Here is a 22669-nt window from a genome sequence, read left to right on the forward strand (position 1 = left end):
TGTGTTTTCAGGGGGCATTTGCGCTTATATGCAAATAATACATATATGAATAAACGTGTGAATGGTGGTCACGTAGGAGAGGGCATCTGTATGGGGCCACACCTGTATCTTCGCTGTGCTTTCCACTTGTTATTTTCTAAAGGGTGGATATGATCTTACAGAGGATAGCTCAACGTCCAGTTGTGGAAGGAGATGGGACGAGGGTTGGATTTACTTGGAAACACAATGGTGCCCACAGAGCAGCCAGGACTGAACTTGGCCTGGATCTACCCTGAGCCTGCTCAGTGCAGTAGGGGCTGGTGCTGCTGTGGCTCCATGGTTTCAAGTTAATTTTTGATCCATTTCAAGTTAATTTTTGCATATGGTGTGAGGTAAGGGTCCAGCTTCATTCTTTTTTATGTAGATGTGCAGTTTTCCCAGTGCCATTTGTTTGGGACTATATTTTAATTAACTATTTTTTTTTGAGACAGGAGGACCCCTTGAGCCCAGGAAGCTGCAGTGAACCAAGGTCATGCCACTGCACTCCAGCCTGGGTGACAGCCAAACCTATCTGCATAAGGTGGTCCCTGAGCACAGCCGTGGTTTCTGCACCATGGTGGCCCTTGTCCCTCAGCCTGCAGTGGACACAGTGGATGTTGTCCCCAAGCTCCTGTTGTCTGGAGCCTTTCTAGACACCCGTGACCCATGGACCAGCCCAGAGACCTCAAGGGTCACGGCAACAAGCGTATTGTGGGAAGGGAGGGCCGAGATGACGCCGGCTGCAGAGACTGGCCAGAGCCAGAGCCAGATGCTGGAGAGTCTCATGGGTCCCAAGGTGCCCACAGGGCAGAAAAGCCCACACGTGGTGATGGGAGGGCGACCTGGACCACACACGTGAACTGACGCTCAGCCGCAGAGTCCTGGGGCCATCACGGCAGCCCCGCAAGGGCTCTCAAGGTCCTGGTTTCCCAATGGTCACACCGAGGCAGAGAAAACTGAAGCGTGGACCACTGTGGCCCGAGGCCAGACCCCAACCTCGCCGGGCTTGGAATTAACCCCGGGTAGATGGCGGCACGGGCTTAGCTGACCTTTTCCAACGTCTCATCAGCCCCAGGGCTCCTTGCTGTTAGGGTCTCCAGGTTTAGCAAATGAAAAAACAGGTGCCCAGTTAAATTTGAATTCCAGAAAAACAAGAAATTCTTTTTTTTGTATGTGTGTGTTTTGTTTTGTTTTTTGTTTTTTTGAGAAGGAGCCTCACTCTGTCGCCCAGGCGGGAGTGCAGTGATTCCATCTTGGCTCACTGCAACCACTGCCTCCTGAGTTCAAGTGATTTTCCTGCTTCAGCCTCCCAAGTAGCTGGGACTATAAGCGTGCGTCACCACGCCCGGCTAATTTTTGTTTTAGTAGAGATGGGGTTTCACCATATTGGCCAGGCTGGTCTCAAGCTCCTGACCTCAGGTGATCCACCCAGCACTTTGGAATCCCAGGTGTGAGCCACCGTGCCCGACCCATGAAATTCTTTTTTCATATAACCACATCTCACACCTGCACAGGGCATCCTTCATGCAAACCTCGGGGTGGGGCCGGCGTCCTATTCTCCAGCGTCTCTGCCCCAAGTCGAGTGGATGAGACAGGACCTCCCAGCTCCTCCTCCCTCCCAGGTATGTTTAGCTTGTCATTCCACACTTACTTGTGGCAGGTGGCTGTCCTCAGCCCAAGGTCACGTCATGAATATTCTGGTTTGGGCGTGGGAGCCTGGGGATGAATCACAGGCCAGATTAGCAGCCCCTCAACCCTCTCGCACCAAATCAAGGGCCAGCAGGCCTACGTCAACGTAATAAACGTAAACCCCTTCTCTGCCAAAAAAGAAGGCTGGATGAGTCCTCCCTGAGTCACCCAGAACATCTACTAGTCACAGCCAGTTATTAACTCCCTTCCCGGGAGCCACCGCTGCAGGAACATGGCAGCAGGGCAGACATGGATGGGGCTGGGGCCTTGGTCCCCCTCCCGGCTCAGGCCACTGCACAGCCGTCCTGCCCCAAGGCCCTCTCTACATGCTTGATGGGCGCCACCGGGCACTGGGGGGCAGGAGGCAGAGGAGGGAATGGAGGTGAGCCACACAGGGGGGCCGGACTCCAGAGCCCAAGGAAGCTCGCCTCTGGAGGCTTTGTTACCCACATGTTCCTGAGGGGCCCTGCCAGGAGGACCGTCCCCTGAAGGGAGAGGAGGCCTCAGACAGGCCGGGGATGCCCAACACAGCTGTGGAGCCATGGAAATTACACAACTCAGTAAATCAGAACAAAACCCAAGGAGAGAGACGAGCAAAAGTGAGAAAGGCCAGGGGAGAGGCCAGCGGCGGCCACTGAGGGCTGTCAGGATGAACGCAGGCCACAGGCTGCAGTGTGGAGAATGGAGAGAGGCCAGGGAGGTCACCGAGAGTGAAGTATTTGGGGAGATAGCGGGAGGCACGTCCCACCCTGGAGCCATCTCGCCGGGCCTCTGAGAGCGAAGTGTTTGGGGAGACAGCAGGAGGCACGTCCCACCCCGGAGCTGTCTCGCCTCCTTCAGGACTGTGGGTGTCTGATTCTCCACGGCTCTTTAAACAAACTGAACCTAGAAATGGCACCAGCACCAACAGACTTGGCTATGTTTCGTGCAGTAAAGAGCGGGCAGGTGGGCCTTGGCATGGGGCTCCCAGCAGGAGGGAGGCAGCACCCCCTCTGCCCTTCTGCTCTGCTGGACAGGGAGTGGGCAGGCTCCGTCTGCATCTGGTCCTCCTCACACCCTGGGAGCTGGTTCTGTGATCATCTCCTCCTTGCAGGCAGGAAGTGGGGCTCAGGGAAGCCAAATTATCTAAGACCACATGGTTGTGGGGGCCGGGCTGGGGCCGAGGTGATGGGTCTGGTGGGCTCTGCTCCTGGGACTGTCTCTCTCAGCCTGGCCCTCAGAGCTCCCCTGAGGCCTTGTCTCGGTCCAGGGACAGCCAGAGGTGGCCAAGAAGAAGGGTTCCCTCCACTCCATCAGCCTCGTAAAAAGAGCCTCAGATGACTGTCTCTGTGTTTATAGATGCGTTGCCCCAGGATGAGAGATGCAATTCTCTGAAAGGAAGCAAATGCGATCATTATCCTCTTCACCCAGGCCTCTTTGCTGGTGGGAGGTTAGTTTTGCGTTTAATGAACATGGGCTGAGTCTCTCTAATGAGGAAGAGATGGGTGCACAGTGATTAGAAACTTGGCAGAGAAAGAAGCCATCACAGCTTCTGTGGGGAGGAGCCGCTGGGTTTGCCGTATCTGCAGACTGGCAGGAGGGCTCACAGCAGGCAGGCTGCACACTGATCTCTGAGACCCCCGCAAGCCTGAATCCCCTCGCCTGCTGCCCCAGGCTCTCAGGAGGACAAGTCCCTGGGTTTGTGGGCGACCTTTGGTTGAAGCTGGGGGGCATCCACAAAAATAAAGCAGGTCAGAAACCGTCCTGAGGGCTCCCGCAGCCTCAGCAACCCAGGACTCTTCCGCCCCACGGGACTCTTGTCCCACAGACAGGTGAGGCAGATGCAGGTAGCCACCCACCCAAGCACCCTCAGCCAGCAGAGACGCAGGAAAATGTTTCTGCTCCACATACTCCGTTGAAATGGGCCCCACTGGGAGAGAACTTGCACTTGACCTGGGAACCACAGAGCCTGGAATTGGCAGTGAGCTTGGTGGTGCACGGTGCTGTGAACGGGGGCCTGGCAGCAGCAGGTAGGGCTGGCGCATTCCTGCCAACCCTCCGGGGGGAAAAGGCCCAGGAACAATGGAATATGACTCAGCACTAAAAAGGAACGACTTTCGAGCCACAGGAAGGCGTGGAGAAACACATGCATGTCACTAAGCGACAGAAGCCAGTGTGGAAAGGCTGAGGGGAATGTATGAGTCCAGCTATAGGACATTCTAGAAAAGGTGAATCCCTGGAGACAGTGGAGAGACCAGGAGTGGCCGAGGTTGGGGGAGCAGATAATTTTTAGGGCAGTGAAACTGTTCTGTATGATACAGCAATGGTGGATACCTGACCTTACACATTGTCCAAAGCCACAGAATGCACAAGGCCAAGCGTGCGCTCAGGTGCACTCTGGACTTTGGTGAATAGAGATGTCTCCCCTGTGACAACGTCCCACACCAACACAAGAGGCCAATCACGGGGGAAGCCGTGTGCAGGGGAGTGGGGAACAGGAAACTCTCTGTGCTTTCTGCTTAATTTATGTGTAAACCTAAAGCCACACCAAAAAATCAAGCCTATTCGTTTTTCAAAGGTGTAGGCGACAAAGCATAAATGAAGAAACTCTGTCAGGCAGAATGCTCATGCCAGGTGCCCTCCCGATGGAGCTGGGCATCTGTGCAGTGGTGACAGAGACCTGCCCCTGAGAATGGAGCTGGAGGGTCCACGGGTCAGTGTCCTCACCTGCCTGCCAGTGGGCCCGCGGATCAGTCTCCTCACCTGCCTGCCAGTGGCACTCATCTCTGAACATAACCATAAAAATCACATTCCCCAAGGCAAACAGCAAAGCCTCGGCCCCATACGCTACCGTTTCCCCTGAAAAATATTTTGTCAAGTGAAACATTTGAGAAATTAGCAAATTTTCCACTTCCAAGATCTTGCTGCAAAGTGATGATGCTTCATTCTGCCCAGAGAGCTCCACAATCACCTCCCTCTGAAAGCCCCCCTCCTTGGAGCCTCCTGGCTCCCACACAGAGGCACCGTGTGCCAGGGACTGGGCCCCATCCGGAGGCAGCTTGGACTCCACGTTTGCTCATTCTGCCAAAAAGAATTCGTGGCAAATAACGTTCACACAAGCACAGCCAGCGGTGGGCAGAGGTGGGTGCCTGTTGGCTTGTTTTAATTTTTTACCATTTTTATCATGGAATATCATATCACAGGAGAAAGTGCAAAAGTGCGTGTGTCTAAGTGACTATGAATCAGAGGCCAAATGTTGTCAGCCCTCTAGGGGCCCTCTGCGTCCCTCCCTCCAGAGAGGAACGCCATCCATGTCTTTCCTATCATTGTTCCTGACTTTATTTTTTTCCTCAGTTTTTTAATTGTGATAAAATATACGTAACATAACGTATATGACCATTCATAGCTGACCATTCTTGCCACTCATAAGCACCCAGTTCAGGAGCATCAAGGACATTCCCATGGCTGTGCAGCCGTCGCCACCATCCATTTCCAGAACTTTTCCACCTTCCCAAACTACAGCTCTGTCCCCATTCAACACCGACTCCCCATCCCCTCCCCTCAAGCCCGGGAGACGCCTGTCTATCTTCTCTGTGAATTTGATGACTCTCGTGTTTCTTATCATTGGAATTCCAGTTCCAGTGGAATATGCATTCCATTGGTACTTGTCCTTTTGTGACGCTCATTTCATTTAGCATAACGTCCTCGAGCTTCATCCGTGCTGTCAAGGGCGACAGGCTCCCCTTCCTCTTTAAGGCTGAATCATTTTCCGCTGGATGGACGGACACATTCGCTTCTCCGTCCATCTGTCGACGGACACGCAGGTGGCCTCCACCCTCTAGCCCCTGTGAACACAGGTGTGCCAGTATTTTTTCATGTTCCTGCTTCCAATTCTCTGGAGATTGACCCAAAAGGGGGGTTTCTGGATCTCTGCTTTCTTTTACCTCTTTATATGCCTCCTAGATACCATAGTCTGCAGCTTTGCCTGTTCGTGAACTCTCTGTAAAAGGACTATTCTCAGTGTGTTCTTCTGATTTGCTGCTTTCCTGCCATCTCAGTTCTAAACTCCGTCCTCACTGCACGTGTGACTCTTGTCCACGCACGTTTGTGGCTGTGTCGCGTTCCCGGCGTGGCCACGCCGCCACGTATTGATCTGCCCGCTGCAGACACCTGGCCTATTTTCCAGGACTCTGCAGGCAGGGGCACCCTTCGCCAGAGTGTGTGCAGGGCCTTTCTGTAGTGCCCTCCCCCAGAAGCACATGGGCCCGTCGGCCCCCGCGTCCTCGGACACGCAATGCTGTCGGTCGTTCTAACCGGGCTGTCCTGACGGGCGCGCAGCGGCATCCCACGGCAGTGTTCACGAGTGTTGCCCCGTGTGTGGGGAGGCGCCTGTTCAGCTGTGCCACCCGTTTTTCTAAGGAGTCCTCTTTTTCTTGCTGATTCAGAGTCCTTCATATTCTGGTTTTGAGTTCCTGTGAGTTTTATGAATGACCGCACCTTCACCCTCTCCCGTGTCTTCTGAGAAACAAAGTCATGTGTGCTGATGTTACCCGCTTCCGCTGCAGCAAAGGCTCTTGGGGGCCTTGTCTGTGAGGTCATCAGGATGGGGCTCTGGGTCAAAAGTGCTGCCCTCTGGGCATCCACCTGGGGGGATCTGAATGCCGTGGGAGTCTACTTTCCTTTTTTCCCACGTGGGCACCTGACTTTCCTGGCACCAGAACAAGAGTCCAACCTTCCCCCAATAACCTGCAACGCCACTCCCTTCATCACACATCCGCGTGCGTGGGCACGAGCACAGGCCCCCCTCGGTGCCCAGGCGGTGTCCTACCTCGTGGGTCAGCGGCCAAGCCCCCCGCCAGCAGCTCCTCGTGCTCTGGGCAACTGCGGCCCCATAACACGTCCCACTTGCCATCCGCTGTTGCACCGTCCACCTGCTCCTCAGGAGGGTCTGGGCTGCTCCCAGCCTTTCTGTACTTCTCTGTACATTTTAGAATTGGCTTCTAAAATCAATCTCTCTCTCTCACTCTCCCCCACTGGACTTTGCTGGCACTGATGTGCATCTACAGACAGACCCAGGGAAAATGGTCACCTTCCTAACAGCAATCTTTCCAATCCATGGAAGGGATGTCTCAGGTCTTCTTCAGTGTCTCCAGATTTGTGGGTTTGCCATAAATGTGTCACATTTCTTTGCTGTTTACTCTGGTGTGGTTCATAGTTTGATGTTATTAGAAATGACGTTTCCTACATTTATTTTCTCCCTTTTTGTGGTTAATGCCCTGATTTTCTTACACTGTCTTTAACCTAGAAGCGTCAACTCTCTCGCCAATGCCCACAGTGCAGGTCACTGGGGACCCCTGAGCACAGCCACCATCCCCCGGGACAGCGTTATTCCCCATCCCCACCCCCGGGCCCCCACTTTCTCGCCCTCCCTAACCCTGCCCTGCTCCTGGGGTGTGGGGTGCACCCTCGTTGCCTCCCATCATGTGAAGCCTCCTTCGTCTTCCAGGTGCACTGTGAGGCTTTCTAAATGTCCTAAGTGGAAGTCTAATTTATGGAGCTCTTTTCTGCACCCATGAAGAGAATGAGACTTTCCCCCTCCAGGTGCTGCTGTGGTGTCACCGTGATGGGTTCTATCCCCTCAAGGTCCTGCTGCCATCGGGGCCACACCTGACCATTTGCTCCCGACTTGGGGCAGATTCCTTGGGGCTGGAGTGCAGGAGCCTCACCGCCAGGGGCTGCCACCCCCACCCCGGAGGGCTCACTCTAGGGCTCTGGGTCTCAATCCCCAGAGAAGGGTGCGTGGGACTCCTCCTCACTCACCCACTCACCTTTCCAACCAAAGCCGTGGACAGGCTCAGATCACTGTCCACACCCAACACCGCGCTTCCCGTGTACTCTGCCCGTGTGGTCAGCAGGGGCCGCTCCCTCCCCTCCCCCACTCGCCCTCCTCCCCTCCTCTCCTCCCCCCGCCCCCTCATCACCCACCCGCCCGCCACCACACAATACGGTTCCTTTCATTGTCTTGTGTTAAGGCTCTCGGGTGGGGGGGTGGTTATTACTGTCCCACTGTGTGACATCATAATAGGCTGCTGTCCCAGAAAACAAAGGCTTTCGAAGATGGCGAGGAGACACGTCCTATTTACGTCGTCACTGCCTAGACAGACGTGGAAGTGCGGGAGCAGAATAAACATCTGTATCCGGAGAGTAACAATAGCGCTGGCTGCCCTGTTATTTCCGAAGCCTGCCTAAATTATGCCCTGCGCAGCACAGAAAGGGATTTTTTGTGTATGTGCAGGTGGATTAATAAAAAACCATTGAAATGCAAAGTGAGGGCTCCTCCCTCACACCCCCTCCCCGAGAGAAGGGAATCGTCACCCAAGAACTCGCAGATCCTCTTGGGGACACATAGGCCGGGGTCGACCGTCCGCAAGCACGAGACCCAGGGCTGCAGGGGGAGGTTCCGGCTGCTGCTGTTACCGTCTTGACCCCCAAAAGACCAAAAAAGGGCCACGTGCAAATCGTAAAAATCAGATGTGAATGAACCACACGGCTCGCAAGGGTGGGAGGTTCATGCCCCAGCCCAGGGGTCTCCCAACACCTTTACCATTGGCACCCCTGTTTTGGAAAAATAACACAGACGTTGTTCCACTACGTGGGAAATACACCCCGTGGCTGAACTCCATGGCTTCACCCGCCTCCATCGTTGGGCTGGCAAGTGTGGATTGGATCACAATGCCCACCTGAGAGGAGGCCTGTCGGGTCCCCAAGCTGCCCCTGGGCCGGGCCACCCACACAGCAAGGGGCAGGGGCCGCCTGAAAGCACCCTGTGCTCCGGCGCGGCCCAGATGCATGCTCTGTTCAGGTGGCGTAGAGTCCTTCTGCCTCGGTGTGGCCCCAGGGTGGGTGCAGCTCAGGGAGGAGGCGCAGTGAGTCCTTCCCTCCCTCGGCCGAGCAGGGCTTTCTGCCGAAGAAGGTGTTTCCCGTCAGCGATGAAGAAGTAAGTTCGATGCTGTGGAAATGGATTCTCTGATTAAAACCAAAAAGCAAATCCAGCCCACCCGGCCATGTGCAGGGCTGTCTCCCACATAACCTGGTACTTGGTGGTGGACGGAGGAGCGGCCTCACCAGAGCACAGGGTGGGTGCAGCACTTGCTGCTGGAGACGCTGCCCCGTGTGACACGGGGTGCACGGAAGCCCCACCGTGGAAGTCACGGCTAGTTCCTGCCAGCAGCGAGTAGCAGCCAGCATTTAAAGACACGCCTGGGGGTTGAGCCCAATTTATTGTCTTTATTAAAAAGGATATTGTAGTAGCCTGTTTTCACACTGCTATAAAGACATACCCGAGACTGGGTAATTTATAAAGAAAAGAGACTTAATTGACTCACAGTTCCACATGGCTGAGGAGGCCTCAGGAAACTTACAATCACGATGGAAGGGAAAGAGACAGGTCTTACACGGTGGCAGGCGAGAGAGAAGAGTGTGTGAGAGTGCAGGGACAACTACCATTTATAAAACCATCAGATCTCATGAGAATTCACTCATTATCGTGAGAACAGCATGGGAGAAACTGCCCCCGTAATCCAATCATTTCCCACCAGGTCTCTCCCTTAACACCTGGGGATTACAATTCAAGATGAGATTTGGGTGGGGACACAAAGCCTAACCATACAGGTATCAAGTGTTCCATGCTGCCCTTTGTTGAAAACTGACTTTTATGGCCCTGCCATGTGACCATGGGTGACAAATGCTATTCCCTCCCAGCTTGGGGCCACGGTTTCTCCAGCCTGTACATTAAAGCCTCATCTGTTCTTCCTCCCCAGGCCTGGAGGGCTCACCGGCCCGTGAGCCCTGTGACATTACTTCCCCTGGGCAGACTCAGGGCACCATGAAGCTTCCCACCGGGTAGGCACTCACTATGTCTGTTACGCCGGGCGCCGGCCCGAGTCCTAAAGATAGGCAGCCCTGAGGGCAGAGGCACTCACTGGAGCTCGTGCACACACGTGCACACACGCAAACAGCCGGGCATGTGCACAGGAACACAAGCACACATCCACACGTAACTGTGTGCACACACATACACACATGCACAATCCCCACTGTGCACCTGAGCATCATTGTACACATGGGAAATACATCCACAAACACACACACCCATAACCAGGCACATGACCCGGGGCTGCCAGTGCCAGAGTGATGCCAGCTGCGTAGGCCACACCTCAGTCTGACATATACCTTCCTGGTTCATCAGCCCCATGAGGACCCCAACTCCAGGATGTACAGCAGAAAGGAGTCTTCACCTGCTTCACAGATTAGGACACCGAGGCTCAGAGAGGGTTGAGTGGCTGCCTGAGGTCACACAGCAGGCAAGGCAGGGAACGGCACTGCTGCCCCTCATTTTCTGCTGAGGAAAAGGTGGACGGGGTGCCAGCCGCAGTGAAGCCCACAGGCCCCCAGGTGCCACCTATCTTCATAGCCTGGCTTATCGTCACCCCAGGAGGAGGAAGGGCCTTAACTATGGCTTCCACATCAGATGCCAGCCCACCCTGGGTTAAGCATCTGCATGGAGCCCAGCGATGGGGACGCGATGACCACGGGCCTCAGAAGCACCCACAGCCTCGAAGGGGCCAGGACTGGCTGCACACAGCGCCAGTGACGACAACTGCTGCTGGCGGGGACCGGACGCTCAAGCCCCAGATACACTGTAGCACGTCCCCAGAGAAGCTGGACTCAGAGCTCACACTTCCCTAGAGACGCTCACGTCCAAGGCAGGATGCAGGTGTGCAGTGCAGAGCCGCTCAGAGCACCTGAGCTGGTGGAACTGGCCGGGGGTCCAGGGTCCACTCAAGGACGTTCTCCATGTGCAGCTGCCAGTGACTCCTGGGGGCTGCCGGGCCTGATCCAGTGAGAGGGTGGCCTCCCCCAAGACTAGTGCAGTAGACAAGGCCCTTTCCCGTCAGCCACCGGAGCGAGCTCACTGAGCACAGGCCATCTCCAGGGCGGTTTCAGACCTTCCGGCCCCTTTCAGGGACAGCCAGGCCTTTGTGCCCAGGACCGCTGCCCTCCAGACAGCTCCCTGTCATGTTCACGTCCAGCGCTGGCTCTGCAGACACTGGGGGCCGCCTTCACTCCTGGGGACCCCCTTCCCTGCCTCCCGCCTCTCTCCAGGCACCTGTCCCTTAGTACAGGAGCTCACAGCTCACCATGCTGCCCAGCACCCAGGCTGTACCGCCCACAGCTGTGCAGGCACTCACAGCCAAGTACGGAGCCTTGCGGAAATTCCCCCAGATCCTGGCCCTTCACCCACACAGATCGGACCCTCAGGGGACATCGGCCACCAATAAAGGAGCCAGCCTAGATGTCATTGCAGCTGAGCCCCCATGGCCAGCTCCTCGGGTCACGGCAGCTCCATAGCAAGGGCTCCTCTCATCCCAATCCACTGGGGCCACTGCCAAGAGGAGGACACAGCCTTGGCCATCGAGGGGGATGCTCAGGTACCAGGACCCAGGATGCGGACAGACTCCAGGGTCTCCAAGGTTCCTGCTCAGAGGTTGGCAGGGTGCTTGTCTCCAGAATGATGCCCACCTGGCGATAAGTCTCAGCAGAGCCCCCTGCAGAGTGGCCCTGGGGCTGGGTTCGGCCCCAGACGACCTGAGGAAGCTGCCAGGTAACAAAGCTGTCGGCATCCCCAGAGCCCAGCGGGCAAAGATAGCCAAGAATCTACCACCAACTGGCAGCCAAGATTGCCTGTGGGTCATGCAGCAGGTTCACGTCCCTGTTTTAACTTTTAAGAAACCACCTTAGTAAAGGTTGTACTGATAAACCGAGCAAAGACTGGGCCCGTGCCCCTGCCCCAGCGGACTACAGCCTGAAGGAGGGGCCCTGGAAACCCAGGAGCTCCTGTGCCAGCTCCGGGCACTTGACCATCGCCCACCAGGTTTGTCCCCTCGGCTCCTTCCTTCCGTGCCTCACGGTCGGCCTTCGCCTTGACGTGCATGCCAGGATGCATGACCACTGGGCAGGCAAGTGCACCCCTGGGTGCGGCAGGAAGAAATGGCCCCTTGTAAATCCCACAGGCGAGGAGGCCACACTCGTGCGGGGGTGGGGCCCACAGAGGGAAGCAGGGCCATAGAGGAGGCGGGGCCACAGGGGAGGCAGGGCCTGAGGGGAGGAGGGGCCTGGATGGGGAGGCGGGGCCCCAGGGGAGGCGGGGCCTTAGAGGAGACACGGCCCGGAGAGGTGGCAGGGCCCAGAAAGAAGGCAGGGCCACAGGGGAGGCGGGGCCCAGAGGGGAGGCAGGGCCCAGAGAGGAGGCGGGGCCACAGGGGAGGCGGGGCCCAGAGGGGAGGCGGGGCCCAGAGGGGAGGCGGGTCCCGGAGGGGAGGCGGGTCCCGGAGGGGAGGCGGGTCCCGGAGGGGAGGCAGGGCCACAGGGGAGGCAGGGCCCAGAGAGGAGGCGGGGCCACAGGGGAGGCGGGTCCCGGAGGGGAGGCGGGTCCCGGAGGGGAGGCAGGGCCACAGGGGAGGCAGGGCCTAGAGGGGAGGCGGGGCCCAGAGGGGAGGCAGGGCCACAGGGGAGGCGGGGCCCGGAGGGGTGGCAGGGCCCAGAGAGAAGGCGGGGCCACAGGGGAGGCGGGGCCCAGAGGGGAGGCGGGGCCACAGGGGAGGCGGGGCCCGGAGGGGTGGCAGGGCCCAGAGAGGAGGCGGGGCCACAGGGGAGGCAGGGCCTGAGGGGAGGAGGGGCCTGGATGGGGAGGCGGGGCCCCAGGGGAGGCAGGGCCTTAGAGGAGACAGGGCCCGGAGAGGTGGCAGGGCCCGGAGAGGTGGCAGGGCCCAGAGAGGAGGCAGGGCCCAGAAAGAAGGCAGGGCCACAGGGGAGGCGGGGCCCAGAGGGGAGGCAGGGCCCAGAGAGGAGGCGGGGCCACAGGGGAGGCGGGGCCCAGAGGGGAGGCGGGGCCACAGGGGAGGCGGGGCCCGGAGGGGTGGCAGGGCCCAGAGAGGAGGCGGGGCCACAGGGGAGGCGGGGCCCAGAGGGGAGGCGGGGCCCAGAGGGGAGGCGGGTCCCGGAGGGGAGGCGGGTCCCGGAGGGGAGGCAGGGCCACAGGGGAGGCAGGGCCCAGAGAGAAGGCGGGGCCACAGGGGAGGCGGGGCCCAGAGGGGAGGCGGGGCCCGGAGGGGTGGCAGGGCCCAGAGAGGAGGCGGGGCCATAGGGGAGGCGGGGCCCAGAGGGGAGGCGGGGCCCAGAGGGGGCGGTAGCCCCGCCAAGTCTTGGGGGCCTCTCTTGCTGCCAAGCAGGAGGCCTGGGCTGGCTGCTCTGTCTCTGGAATGCGCTGTTCCCACCACTTGGCAACGCCTCAGAGGGCAACACGGCCCTGCCCAGTGGGGAGAGGGCTCCAGCTGCCCACCCTCTGGCCCTGGGTAGGGGAGGATGAAGGTGGCCTGGCTTCCCCGTAGGACCAGATGCCAAAAGGTAACTGTCCCCTAAAGAGCAGTGAGGGCCTACTTGCTGATGAAAAGCCTAATCAAGACATTTTTTTGAGACGGAGGCTCTGTCGCCCAGGCTGGAGTGCAGTGGCGTGATCTCAGCTCACTGCAACCTCTGCCTCCCAGGTTCAAGTGATTCTCGTGCCTCAGCCTCCCGAGTAGCTGGGAGTATCGGAGCCTGCCACCACACCCGGGTAATTTTTGTATTTTTAGTAGAGACAAGGTTTCACCATGTTGGCCAGGTTAGTCTCAAACTCCTGACCTAGTGATCCACTCACCTCGGCCTCCCAAAGTGCTGGGATTATAGGCGTGAGACACCACGCCCGACCCTAATCAAGACTTTTTAAAAACATGAATCAAAAAGACACACTTTAATTAATAGGCAGTGAATTAAAAGACTGCTGACTTTGGAAAAATCGTTTTCTGAGTTCAAGATCGGTGACGCTGGATTAGCCTAATTGATCTGAACTTGTTGGTTTGGGATTCAAGGGCAAGTTTGGTTCCTTAGTGGCTGGCTGTGTTGTGTCCAGATTGATGTTCCCAGGTGGGGGGCAGGAGCCCTGGAAACAACAGCCAGACCCTGGGCAGCCGGCCCCGGCGAAGAGGGGTCCAAGCCCTGTCTCATGTCTCCCTTGGGGTACATTTGAGGCCTGGACACCCCAACCCCGGGAGGTGGGGAGTGGGTCAGGCTGGATATGAGCAATGACACTGAGAAGACTCAGGGGCCTCGCCAGACACTAGCCCCAGGAGGCCCGGCGGTGTCCCAAAAACTGGCCATCTGTTAGACAAACCAAAAGAAACTCAAAAGAGGTAAACAGTACAAATCTCACTCGATCAAAATTAATAAAAATAGAAATAAAAATTCCCCAATTTATTTTAAGTTACATGACCAAGAAATAAGTACCCCATGCCTAGGAGAGTGGGTGGGGTTTGGCCAGGCTGAGCTCAGGGAAAGGTACGTGGCCTTGAACTTCATATTCCAGATGAATATTAAGATGAATGGAATGAATACAGTCGCCCAAGTCATTCAAGAAAAGTAACAAATAAAGAGAAGATGGGGAAAAGTCAAAGCTGATGAATTAGGGAGAAAAGCTACGGAATTTGAGTCCAACAACTGGTTCTTTGGAAAGTTGTAAGAAGTGAGTGTTCCAATCATTTTCCTGGTCAAAACATTCGGCCTCACTGGTGGCCTGAGAAATCGCTTAAATGTCATCAGAGTAGAACAGAAATCAGGGCAGGAAAGAGCATGGGCAGAGAGGGAGGGGAGCCCCAGGGCGTCTCCGGTGCGCTCAGACACAGGTTCAATATGTAAAACAGTGTTATTGAGCTGTCGCTCACATGGTATACCAGTCGCCCATCTACAGCACACAACTCGATGGTCTGAGTGTGTTCCTTCACAGAGTTGTGCAACCATCACCACGGTCAATTTTAGAACATTTTCATCACCTCAAAAAGAAACCCTGTCCCCATTAGCAGTCACTCCCCACTGCCCCCACCACACCCCCAACCCCTGGCAACTGCAAATCTGTTTCCTGTCTCTCCTGGTTTGCCTGTTACAGACATTTCCCATCAGTGGAATCACACAATATATGTTGTTTTGTGTCTAGCTTCTTTCATTTAACAAAATGTTTTCACGGCTCACCCGTGTGGTAGCATACATCTGTGCCTCATTCTTTTTGATGGCGGCATAATATTCCATTGCACAGAGGAGCCACATTTTGCCAGCCCGTTCATCAGTAGACGGGCAGTGCCTTGTTTCCACTTCTTGACTATCATGAATAATGTTGCTATGAACATTCATGGGAAGGTTTTATGTGAAGGTATGTTTTCATTTCTCTTGGGTACATACCTAGAATTGGAATTGTTAGATAACATGGTAATTCCATGTTTAACCATTTTGAGAAACTTCCAAACTGCTTTCCAAAGCAGCTGCACCATTTCATATCCCCACCAGCAATGCATAGATTCTGAACTTCTCTTTCCACAAACTTTTGTTATTAAAAATAAATTGTTTAAAGAAGGGAAAAAACAGCTCTCCATAATAAAACACACTGCTCTTCTGAAATCTCCCTTGGCGTGTGTCTATGAGTTGATTTACAGTGTGGGTGCAAGTCCACAAGCCAGCAGACACACAGGGCCACAGAAGGGACACTGCCATGCTGGCCCACTACCACGTTCACACCGAAGGTGACTTTGCCTGGCTGTGGACTCAGCGAAGCTGGGACACCCTCAGAGGCGACTGTCCACCCAACCCTCACCATGCAGAGACAGAGACCAGCACACTTGGTCTCCTCCACCCAGATAAGCTCTTGGAGAGGTGGCCCTGGCACCTGTGAAAATGTAAATGGCTGTCGGCCTTTGACGGTGCTGCTGACGGGTGACCAGAGTTCTCTCGCGGCTGCACGTTTTCCCATGAGCGCCGAGGCAGGTTCAATATGGACAGCTCCTCCAGCCCCTGCAGGTAACCCAGCCCGAGCTCCCACTTCCTTTGTACCAAGCAGAAACAAGGGCATGGAAAAGGGAGGGGTGTTTTCACATCTGAATGGCAACATTCCCGTCCAACACCCCGGACTATATCTTCAAACAGATCTGTCTGAGAAGACAGTGATTGCATTGAGCCCAGCGTGCTGTCAGCTGCTTGAAGCCAGTTTCGGCACACGGGTATTAGGTTATAGAAGAAACCTTGTTGTAAGGATCGTCAGGGAGGAAGTCACTGTATTTACTTGAAGTTTGCACAGCTTCATCAGTTTCAGTGGAAATAACTAAAAATAGTTAAAGACATTAGTTAAAATTAAAGAAAAGGGGACGAGAAAACAAGCTACAGCCTGAGAGAAAACATTTACAAACCACATGCCCGACAAAAGACTCACAGAATATATTCCTTAAACTCTCAAAACTCAACAGTAAAAACAAACAATCAATCCAGTGAGAAAATGGGCAGAAGAGACATTTCACCAGAGAGGCTGTACACAGGGAAATAAACACAGGCAAAGACATCTAATGTCCTCTGCCAGGGGGAACTGCACATTTGACTCACGATGAAATGTCACTACGCACCCATCAGCATGGCGGAAATAAAAAATAACGGCAACATTAAATGCTAACGAGGTCATGAAGAAACGAGATCACTCATACACTGTTGGCGGGAATCTAAAACGGGGCAGCCACGGTGGAGACGGTGTAGCAGTGTTTTGCAAAACCAAGCACGTGCTCACCTACAACCCGCAACTGCATTCCTGGGCATGCATCCCAGAGAAAGGAAGACTTTCATTCACACAAAACCCTATCACGATTACTCATAGCAACTTTATTTGTAACCACGAAGAACCAGAAACAACCACATGCCCAACAATAGATGAATGGCTATACACGCTGGGGTGCTGCACACCCTGGGACTCCACTCAGCTGCAGAGAAAGAACCGGTGAAGCACACAACAGCTCTGGCGGGTCTTTGGGGAAAGACCACCGTCTACCGCCACGCGAGGGAAAGAAGCCGGTCTCCAAAGGTCACACCCTGCGTGATTTCATTTCTGTGACATTCTCAAAATGACGAATTTGGAGGAGGTTGGAGTGGGGAAAGAGCTGGAGGCTGTGACTAAAAAGGATAGCAGGAGGAAGATCTTTGCAGCCGCAGAGGGGCCCTATATCTTGACTATAGTGGTCACGCGTGTGATAAATGGCAAAGAGCAGAGACGTTGTCGGAGGCACGTCCTGGTTGCGAGGCCGTCCTCTAGTGGAGGGATCTGGGTGAAGGATGCATGGGCTGTCTCTGTACTACTGTGTCTGTCTTTGCAACTTCCTGTACATCTACAATCATTGCAACAGCTGCAGTGGGCTCCGGTGGGCCTGTACTCCAGCCTACGACAGAGAGAGACTCTGTCTCTTAAAAACTACTTTATTTTTAAAATGGCAGCAGGCGTTGCTTTGCCTCAGGAGAGTTGGACGCCGAGCCCTTTTGCGGGTACTCACCAGAGGCATTTGTGCTGCTTGGGGTCTGGGCACCCTCTTGTTGTGGTGACTGTGATTCCCATATCATTTTATCTCACAACGTTATGAAAAAAGCCTCATTGCCGTAACAGCACAGCAAGACAGCAAGCAACTGCGATCGCCTTGGCAGAGAAGGAGAAGCAAGGAAAGGAGACCAGAGCAGCGCTCGTACCTCTGAAGTCCTCTCCCGCAATGCGACGTATTAGCCCAAAGTAGACCGTGGCTATGGCCGGGGCGGGGCAGCTCTGTTTGTGAGCACGGAATCGAGGCTGGGAGCTGCACACTCACCTGAGCGTTCACAAACTCATCGTGGAGGGTGTCAAATGCACTCACGGCTGCGTGCACGTGTCTGCTGCCTTCTCTCAGGGAGTACAGATGCTCCCCTATGCTGGGGCTTCACCTTGTGTGTGGAGGAAAACACTGTGGGAACTATGTTGGTGCTGATTTTTTTTTTTTTTTTGATACGGAGTCTCACTCTGTTGCCCAGGCTGGAGTGCAGTGGTGTGATCTCGGCTCACTGCCACCTCTGCCTCCCAGGTTCAAGTGATTCCCCTGCCTCAGCCTCCCGAGTAGCTGGGACTACAGGCGAACGCCACCACGCCCAGCTAATTTTTGTATATTTTAGTAGAGATGGGGTTTCATCATGTTGGCTAGGCTGGCCTTGAACTCCTGACCTCAGGTGATCCACCCACCTCGGCCTCCCAAAGTGCTGGGGTTACAGGGGTGAGCCACCGCGCCCAGCCAGTACTGATTTTTAAATCTATCTGTTCAATCATTTCGGCTGGAGCCATCATTATCTTGCTGAAGCAGCTGTTGGAATATTAACAAGAGGCAGTGGTAACAAGTGGAATGTAATTAGCACTCCTTGTTCCAGTGAATTTGCAGTTCTAACTGGGAACAATTTGCAGTGAGTTTGTGTGTGGCTGTAATTAACTTCGCAAGCACACAGGCAGCACAGAGCCCATGGGACCACAGCCCGGGCTGTGACCTGCAGGCTGATCCCTCTGAGTCGCCCCTGAGTTCCCACCGGCTGCTCCCGTGCGCGGGTGCCCCTCTCTCAGCCTGGCATGTGACTGCCTCCTCCAAACACCCACCTGGTGTCCACCATTCTGGCCCTGCCAGCAGCTCCTTCATTCCATCATTTATCCCAGTGTTTTCCAAGCACCCAGGATGCACCAGGCTGGGACTTGCCCCCAGTCCCACAAAGCTCTGCACTCCTGGGTTCCCCAGTACCCCCCAGGAAGACTCCATGCCACACAGGTGGCACCACCTTGCTGGGCTCACGTGGGGAAAGGATGAGAGAGCCGCCCACCTGGGCAGACAGGTGCCTGAGCCGGGTGGGAGGTGGGAACGGAGCCCAGGACCACACAGGGGGTGCCGAGGAGCTTGCACACCCAGGAGGCTCCCTGGAAGAGGAAGGTTTCAAGCAGCTGCCCTCAGGCACCCCACGCGTGTTGACAGCCAAGCGTGACTTCTTGTCAAGGGCATCGTTAAAGGAGAACATGAGGCCTGCTCGGGGGCTGAGAGGAGAGAGGTGCCAGGGCAGGCGCCCCCCGCACATACCCTGCCACTGCCATGGGATCCCGGCACTGCAGCCTCCTGGTGAGGCCCATGTCCAGCTGGGGTTGCAGAGGGTGCGGTGGCTTCACACCCCGGATTGAACTCACCACCCTCCTCTTTCCCTCAAGCTTTGGTGGCTGGAGAATGACAGTCGATGGCCAGTGCCTGGTTTGCAGAGGCCGCTCATCAGCGTGAATCCCCCTGCGTGGTCAGGGCCACCTCCCCTTTATTGATGAGAAACTGAGGCACAAATACATTCAGTGCCTTTAGTGAGTGTCACGCCCAGAGGGTGACCACCTGCCAAGGTGGGGCATAATGCACTTGGCTTCCCAGCCTGCAGATGCTGGACTCTCACACAGATGGACCGGACGGACCGGAGCCCGAGGTCCCCAGCGTGAGACCCATTGTTGTTCTTGGCAGTTTATTTTCACATCTTTCCCGGAGGCCCAGATTCAGCGGTTCTTAGACTTAACCTAAGAATCTCTCAAAACCATGTAATAAAATACTCCATCTGCATAGATTAATTTACTTGCAATGAATACACAGACTTGGAGGGCACAATCCTATGGCCTTTTACAAATGTTTACAGCCATGTGACAACACCCCACTCAAAATACGCAACACTTCATCACCCTGGAAAGTTCCCTCATGCCCCTTGCCCAGCCGCCACCTAACCCCCAACAAACCAGGCAATGACGTTCTGATTTTTATGGTCAGGGAGTAGCTTTGCCTATTCTAGAACCTCAAGTAAAGGTGATTACGTAGCGTGCACTTCTTTGGGTCTGGCTTCTCTCACTCAACATGATGTCTGAGAGACGCCTGTTCTGGGGTGAGACGTGGTTCTCGCCTTGTTCTTGCTGAGTAGTATTCCACTGGACGGACGTGGCACAATGGTGGCGTTTCCATTCACCATCAGAGAACACGGAGCTTCCTTCCCGATTGAGGATACCACAAATAAAGCTGCTGTGAACATCCACGTACAAGTCTTTTTGTGGGTATGTTTTTATTGCTGTTGCATGAACACCTAGGAATGGAATCGCTGGATCCTAAGGGAGGTGTTTGTTTTATTTTATGAGAACGACCAACTATCTTTCAAAGTGATCAAAGTGCCTTACACTCTCAACAGCAATGGATTAGATTTCCACTTGACGGCAGGCAGGATGGCCAGGCATGTCCGCCTGGGTCATTCTCACAGGCACGCATGGCCCCTTGCTGTCGTTCTAATTTGCATTTCCCTGGTGACTAATCGAAAGGAGCTTTTCATGTTTGTCTCTTTGTTATGTCTTACAGAACCTACTTCTGTATTCTGCATATAAGTTATTTGCCAGGCATCTGAAGGGACTTCAAAAAGTTCACGGAAAAATAAAATTAGAAGATAAAAATAAAAATATAAACTTTATTTCTCAACATAAGCTCCACCAAGGTCAAGACACTTTTGTAAGTGATGATACCAGCCATTTAGTCCATCCCTAAGGCACTGAGGGTCCTGGGAATTTAACCATCTCAATGCAGTCTTTTTACATTACTAACTGAAGAAAAATGACTGTTCTTTAAAAATAATTTTTAAGATTAGGAAGAAAAAAGCCAGACGGAGCCAAATCAAAACTGTAAGGTGGGTGCCAGATGCCTCCAGCATCCCCAAAACTTGCCATAACCTTGGCTCTTGACCAGTCCACTTTTGCTGTGACTTGAGCACCTCCGCCTCTCCATAGCCTTTGCTTTGATTGGGCCTTTCCGCCTCTCTGTAGCCGTTGCTGTGACTTGAGCACCTCACTCTCTCCGTAGCCGTTGCTGTGACTTGAGCACCTCAGTCTCTCCGTAGCCGTTGCTTTGATTGGGCTTTGTCTTCAGCATGGTACTGGGAAAGCCAAGTCTCCTGTTACAATTCTTCAAGGAAATGCTTCAGGATCTTGATCCCACTTGTTTAAAATTTCCACGGAAAGCTCTGCTCTTGTCTCCAGCTGATCTGGGCACAACAGTTTTGGCACCCATCGAGTGGAAAATTTGCCCAACTTTAATGTTTCAGTAAGAATTGTGCCAGCTGAACCAACTGAGATGTCTATGGTGTTGGCTATTTTTTCTGCTGTTAATCGCTGGTCCTCTTCAATGAGGGCATGAACAAGATTAATTTTTTCCTCAAAAACTGATATGGATAGTCTGCCACTGAAGGCTTCATCTTCAATATTGTCTTGTCTCTTCTTAAAACAGGTTATCCACTTGTAAACTGCTGATCTCATTGGGACATTGTCCCCATAAACTTTTTGTAAAGTATCAATGATTTCACATTCTTTCACGAAGCTTCTTCATTAATTTGGTGTTTCTTCTTTCTTGCTTCAATTTTAGCAGAATTCATGTTGCTCCAATAGGAGCTCTTTTCAAACAGATTTCTTTTTTTTTTTTTTTTTTTTTTTTTTTTCTGAGATGGAGTTTCACTCTTGTTGCCTAGGCTGGAGAGCAGTGGTGCAATCTTGGCTCACTGCAACCTCTACCTCCCAGGTTCAAGCACTTCTCCTGCCTCAGCCTCCTGAGTAGCTAGGACTACAGGCATGCGCCACTACACCCAGCTAATTTTTGTACCTTTAGTAGAGACGGGGTTATATCATGTTGCCCAGGCTGGTCTCAAACTCCTGACTTCAGGCAATCCACCCACCTCGGCCTCCCAAAGTGCTGGGATTACAGGCTTGAGCCGCTGCGCCTGGCCCAAACTGATGTCTTATCCTTCTTAGTGCCTCACACCAGATCCTGTTCAGACATGTTATAACAAATTAGTATGAGTTTATTTTTGCACAATTTTTGACATCTATGCATAGTTTTTCACAATACACATTTTCCTTAAAGGGTTTGAGGACCCTTTTGTGTGACTGCAGACGCTTCTACAGTCTGTGACTTGTCTTCTCCTTTTCCTAAAGGTGGCTTTGATGGTCTTTTAAAATTTTGATTGAAGAACAACTTACCAATTTACCAGTTTGGGTTAATTTTGGGTTAACGCTTTTTGTACCTTTTCTAGGGAATCTTTGCCTATGTCAAGATCAAAAGCATGTCTTGGCCTAGTTCATAATGTTAGAGGGAAGCTGCAGGATTTCTGTCCATGCCCTTCGTGACACGGAGGTAGATCCAGGTACCAGTCGAATTGAAATTTTCGGTCTGCATCTGTTTAGATGATCATATAGATTTCTCCTTTACGTTAATATGGTAAAAATAAAATCACTGATTTTTGAATATTGAACCAATCTTGCATTCTAGAGATAAATATTCCTCGGTCATAATGCATAATCCTTGTGTTATATTGCTGGATTTGACTTGTTAATACATTTGGCCCTCCATATCTACAGGTTTCTCATTCACAGATTCAGCCAACCTGAGATGGAAAGTATTCAAAAGTAAGATAAATAAAAAATGAAGATACAACCATAAAAAATAATACAGTATAACAACTATTTACACAGCATTTACATTCTATTAGGTATATAAATAATCTAGGGATGGTTTAAAGTATATGGGTGGATATGGGTATACTATGCAAATACATACTATGTGCAAATACTGTGCCATTTTATATGAGTGACTTGAGCATCATTGGATTTTGGTACCCACAGGGGCTCCTGAAACCATTCCCCCGCATGTGCATGTCAAGGGACTGTAAAGATGGTCTCTGACTTAAAATATTTTTACTTTACCATGGTATGAAAGCGATACCGGTAAGTGCTCAACTTATGATGGAGTTACATCTGGATGAACCCACCGTAAGTCAAAAATCCTATAAGTTGAAGGCTTAGCTGGACATAGCCCTATCGTAAGTTGAGGAGCACCTGTATTTTGTTAAGGGTTTCTATGTCTTTGTTCATAAGGAATATTTGCTCTGTAATGTCATTTACTTGGAATGTCTTCATCATCAACTCTGGTATCAGGATTATGCTGGCCTTGGTATGCAGGAGCCAACTCACCATGGCCCCCAG

The 22669-nt window shown here is 53.5% G+C and overlaps 1 long non-coding RNA gene across 1 annotated transcript, besides 2 other annotated features; it reads right to left on the minus strand.

Moving 5' to 3' along the window:
* Positions 1 to 2603: 2603 nt before the first annotated feature.
* LOC105376996 (uncharacterized) lies at positions 2604 to 7600 on the minus strand. The gene is made up of 2 exons (XR_001754707.1): positions 7515 to 7600; positions 2604 to 3077 (listed from the first exon to the last, which is right to left on the minus strand). It is a non-coding gene; the product is annotated as an uncharacterized LOC105376996 (long non-coding RNA).
* Positions 8305 to 9058: an enhancer, noted in NCBI's record as "H3K4me1 hESC enhancer chr20:61762333-61763086 (GRCh37/hg19 assembly coordinates)". NCBI's record gives its function as "activates a minimal SCP1, AML or CMV promoter by ChIP-STARR-seq in naive H9 embryonic stem cells {active_cell/tissue: H9 hESC(naive)}" and the evidence as "EXISTENCE:reporter gene assay evidence [ECO:0000049][PMID:30033119]".
* Positions 18523 to 19346: an enhancer, noted in NCBI's record as "H3K4me1 hESC enhancer chr20:61772551-61773374 (GRCh37/hg19 assembly coordinates)". NCBI's record gives its function as "activates a minimal SCP1, AML or CMV promoter by ChIP-STARR-seq in primed H9 embryonic stem cells {active_cell/tissue: H9 hESC(primed)}" and the evidence as "EXISTENCE:reporter gene assay evidence [ECO:0000049][PMID:30033119]".

This window comes from Homo sapiens, chromosome 20 (genome assembly GCF_000001405.40).
Source record: "Homo sapiens chromosome 20, GRCh38.p14 Primary Assembly".
Classification (NCBI taxonomy): Eukaryota; Metazoa; Chordata; class Mammalia; order Primates; family Hominidae; genus Homo; species Homo sapiens.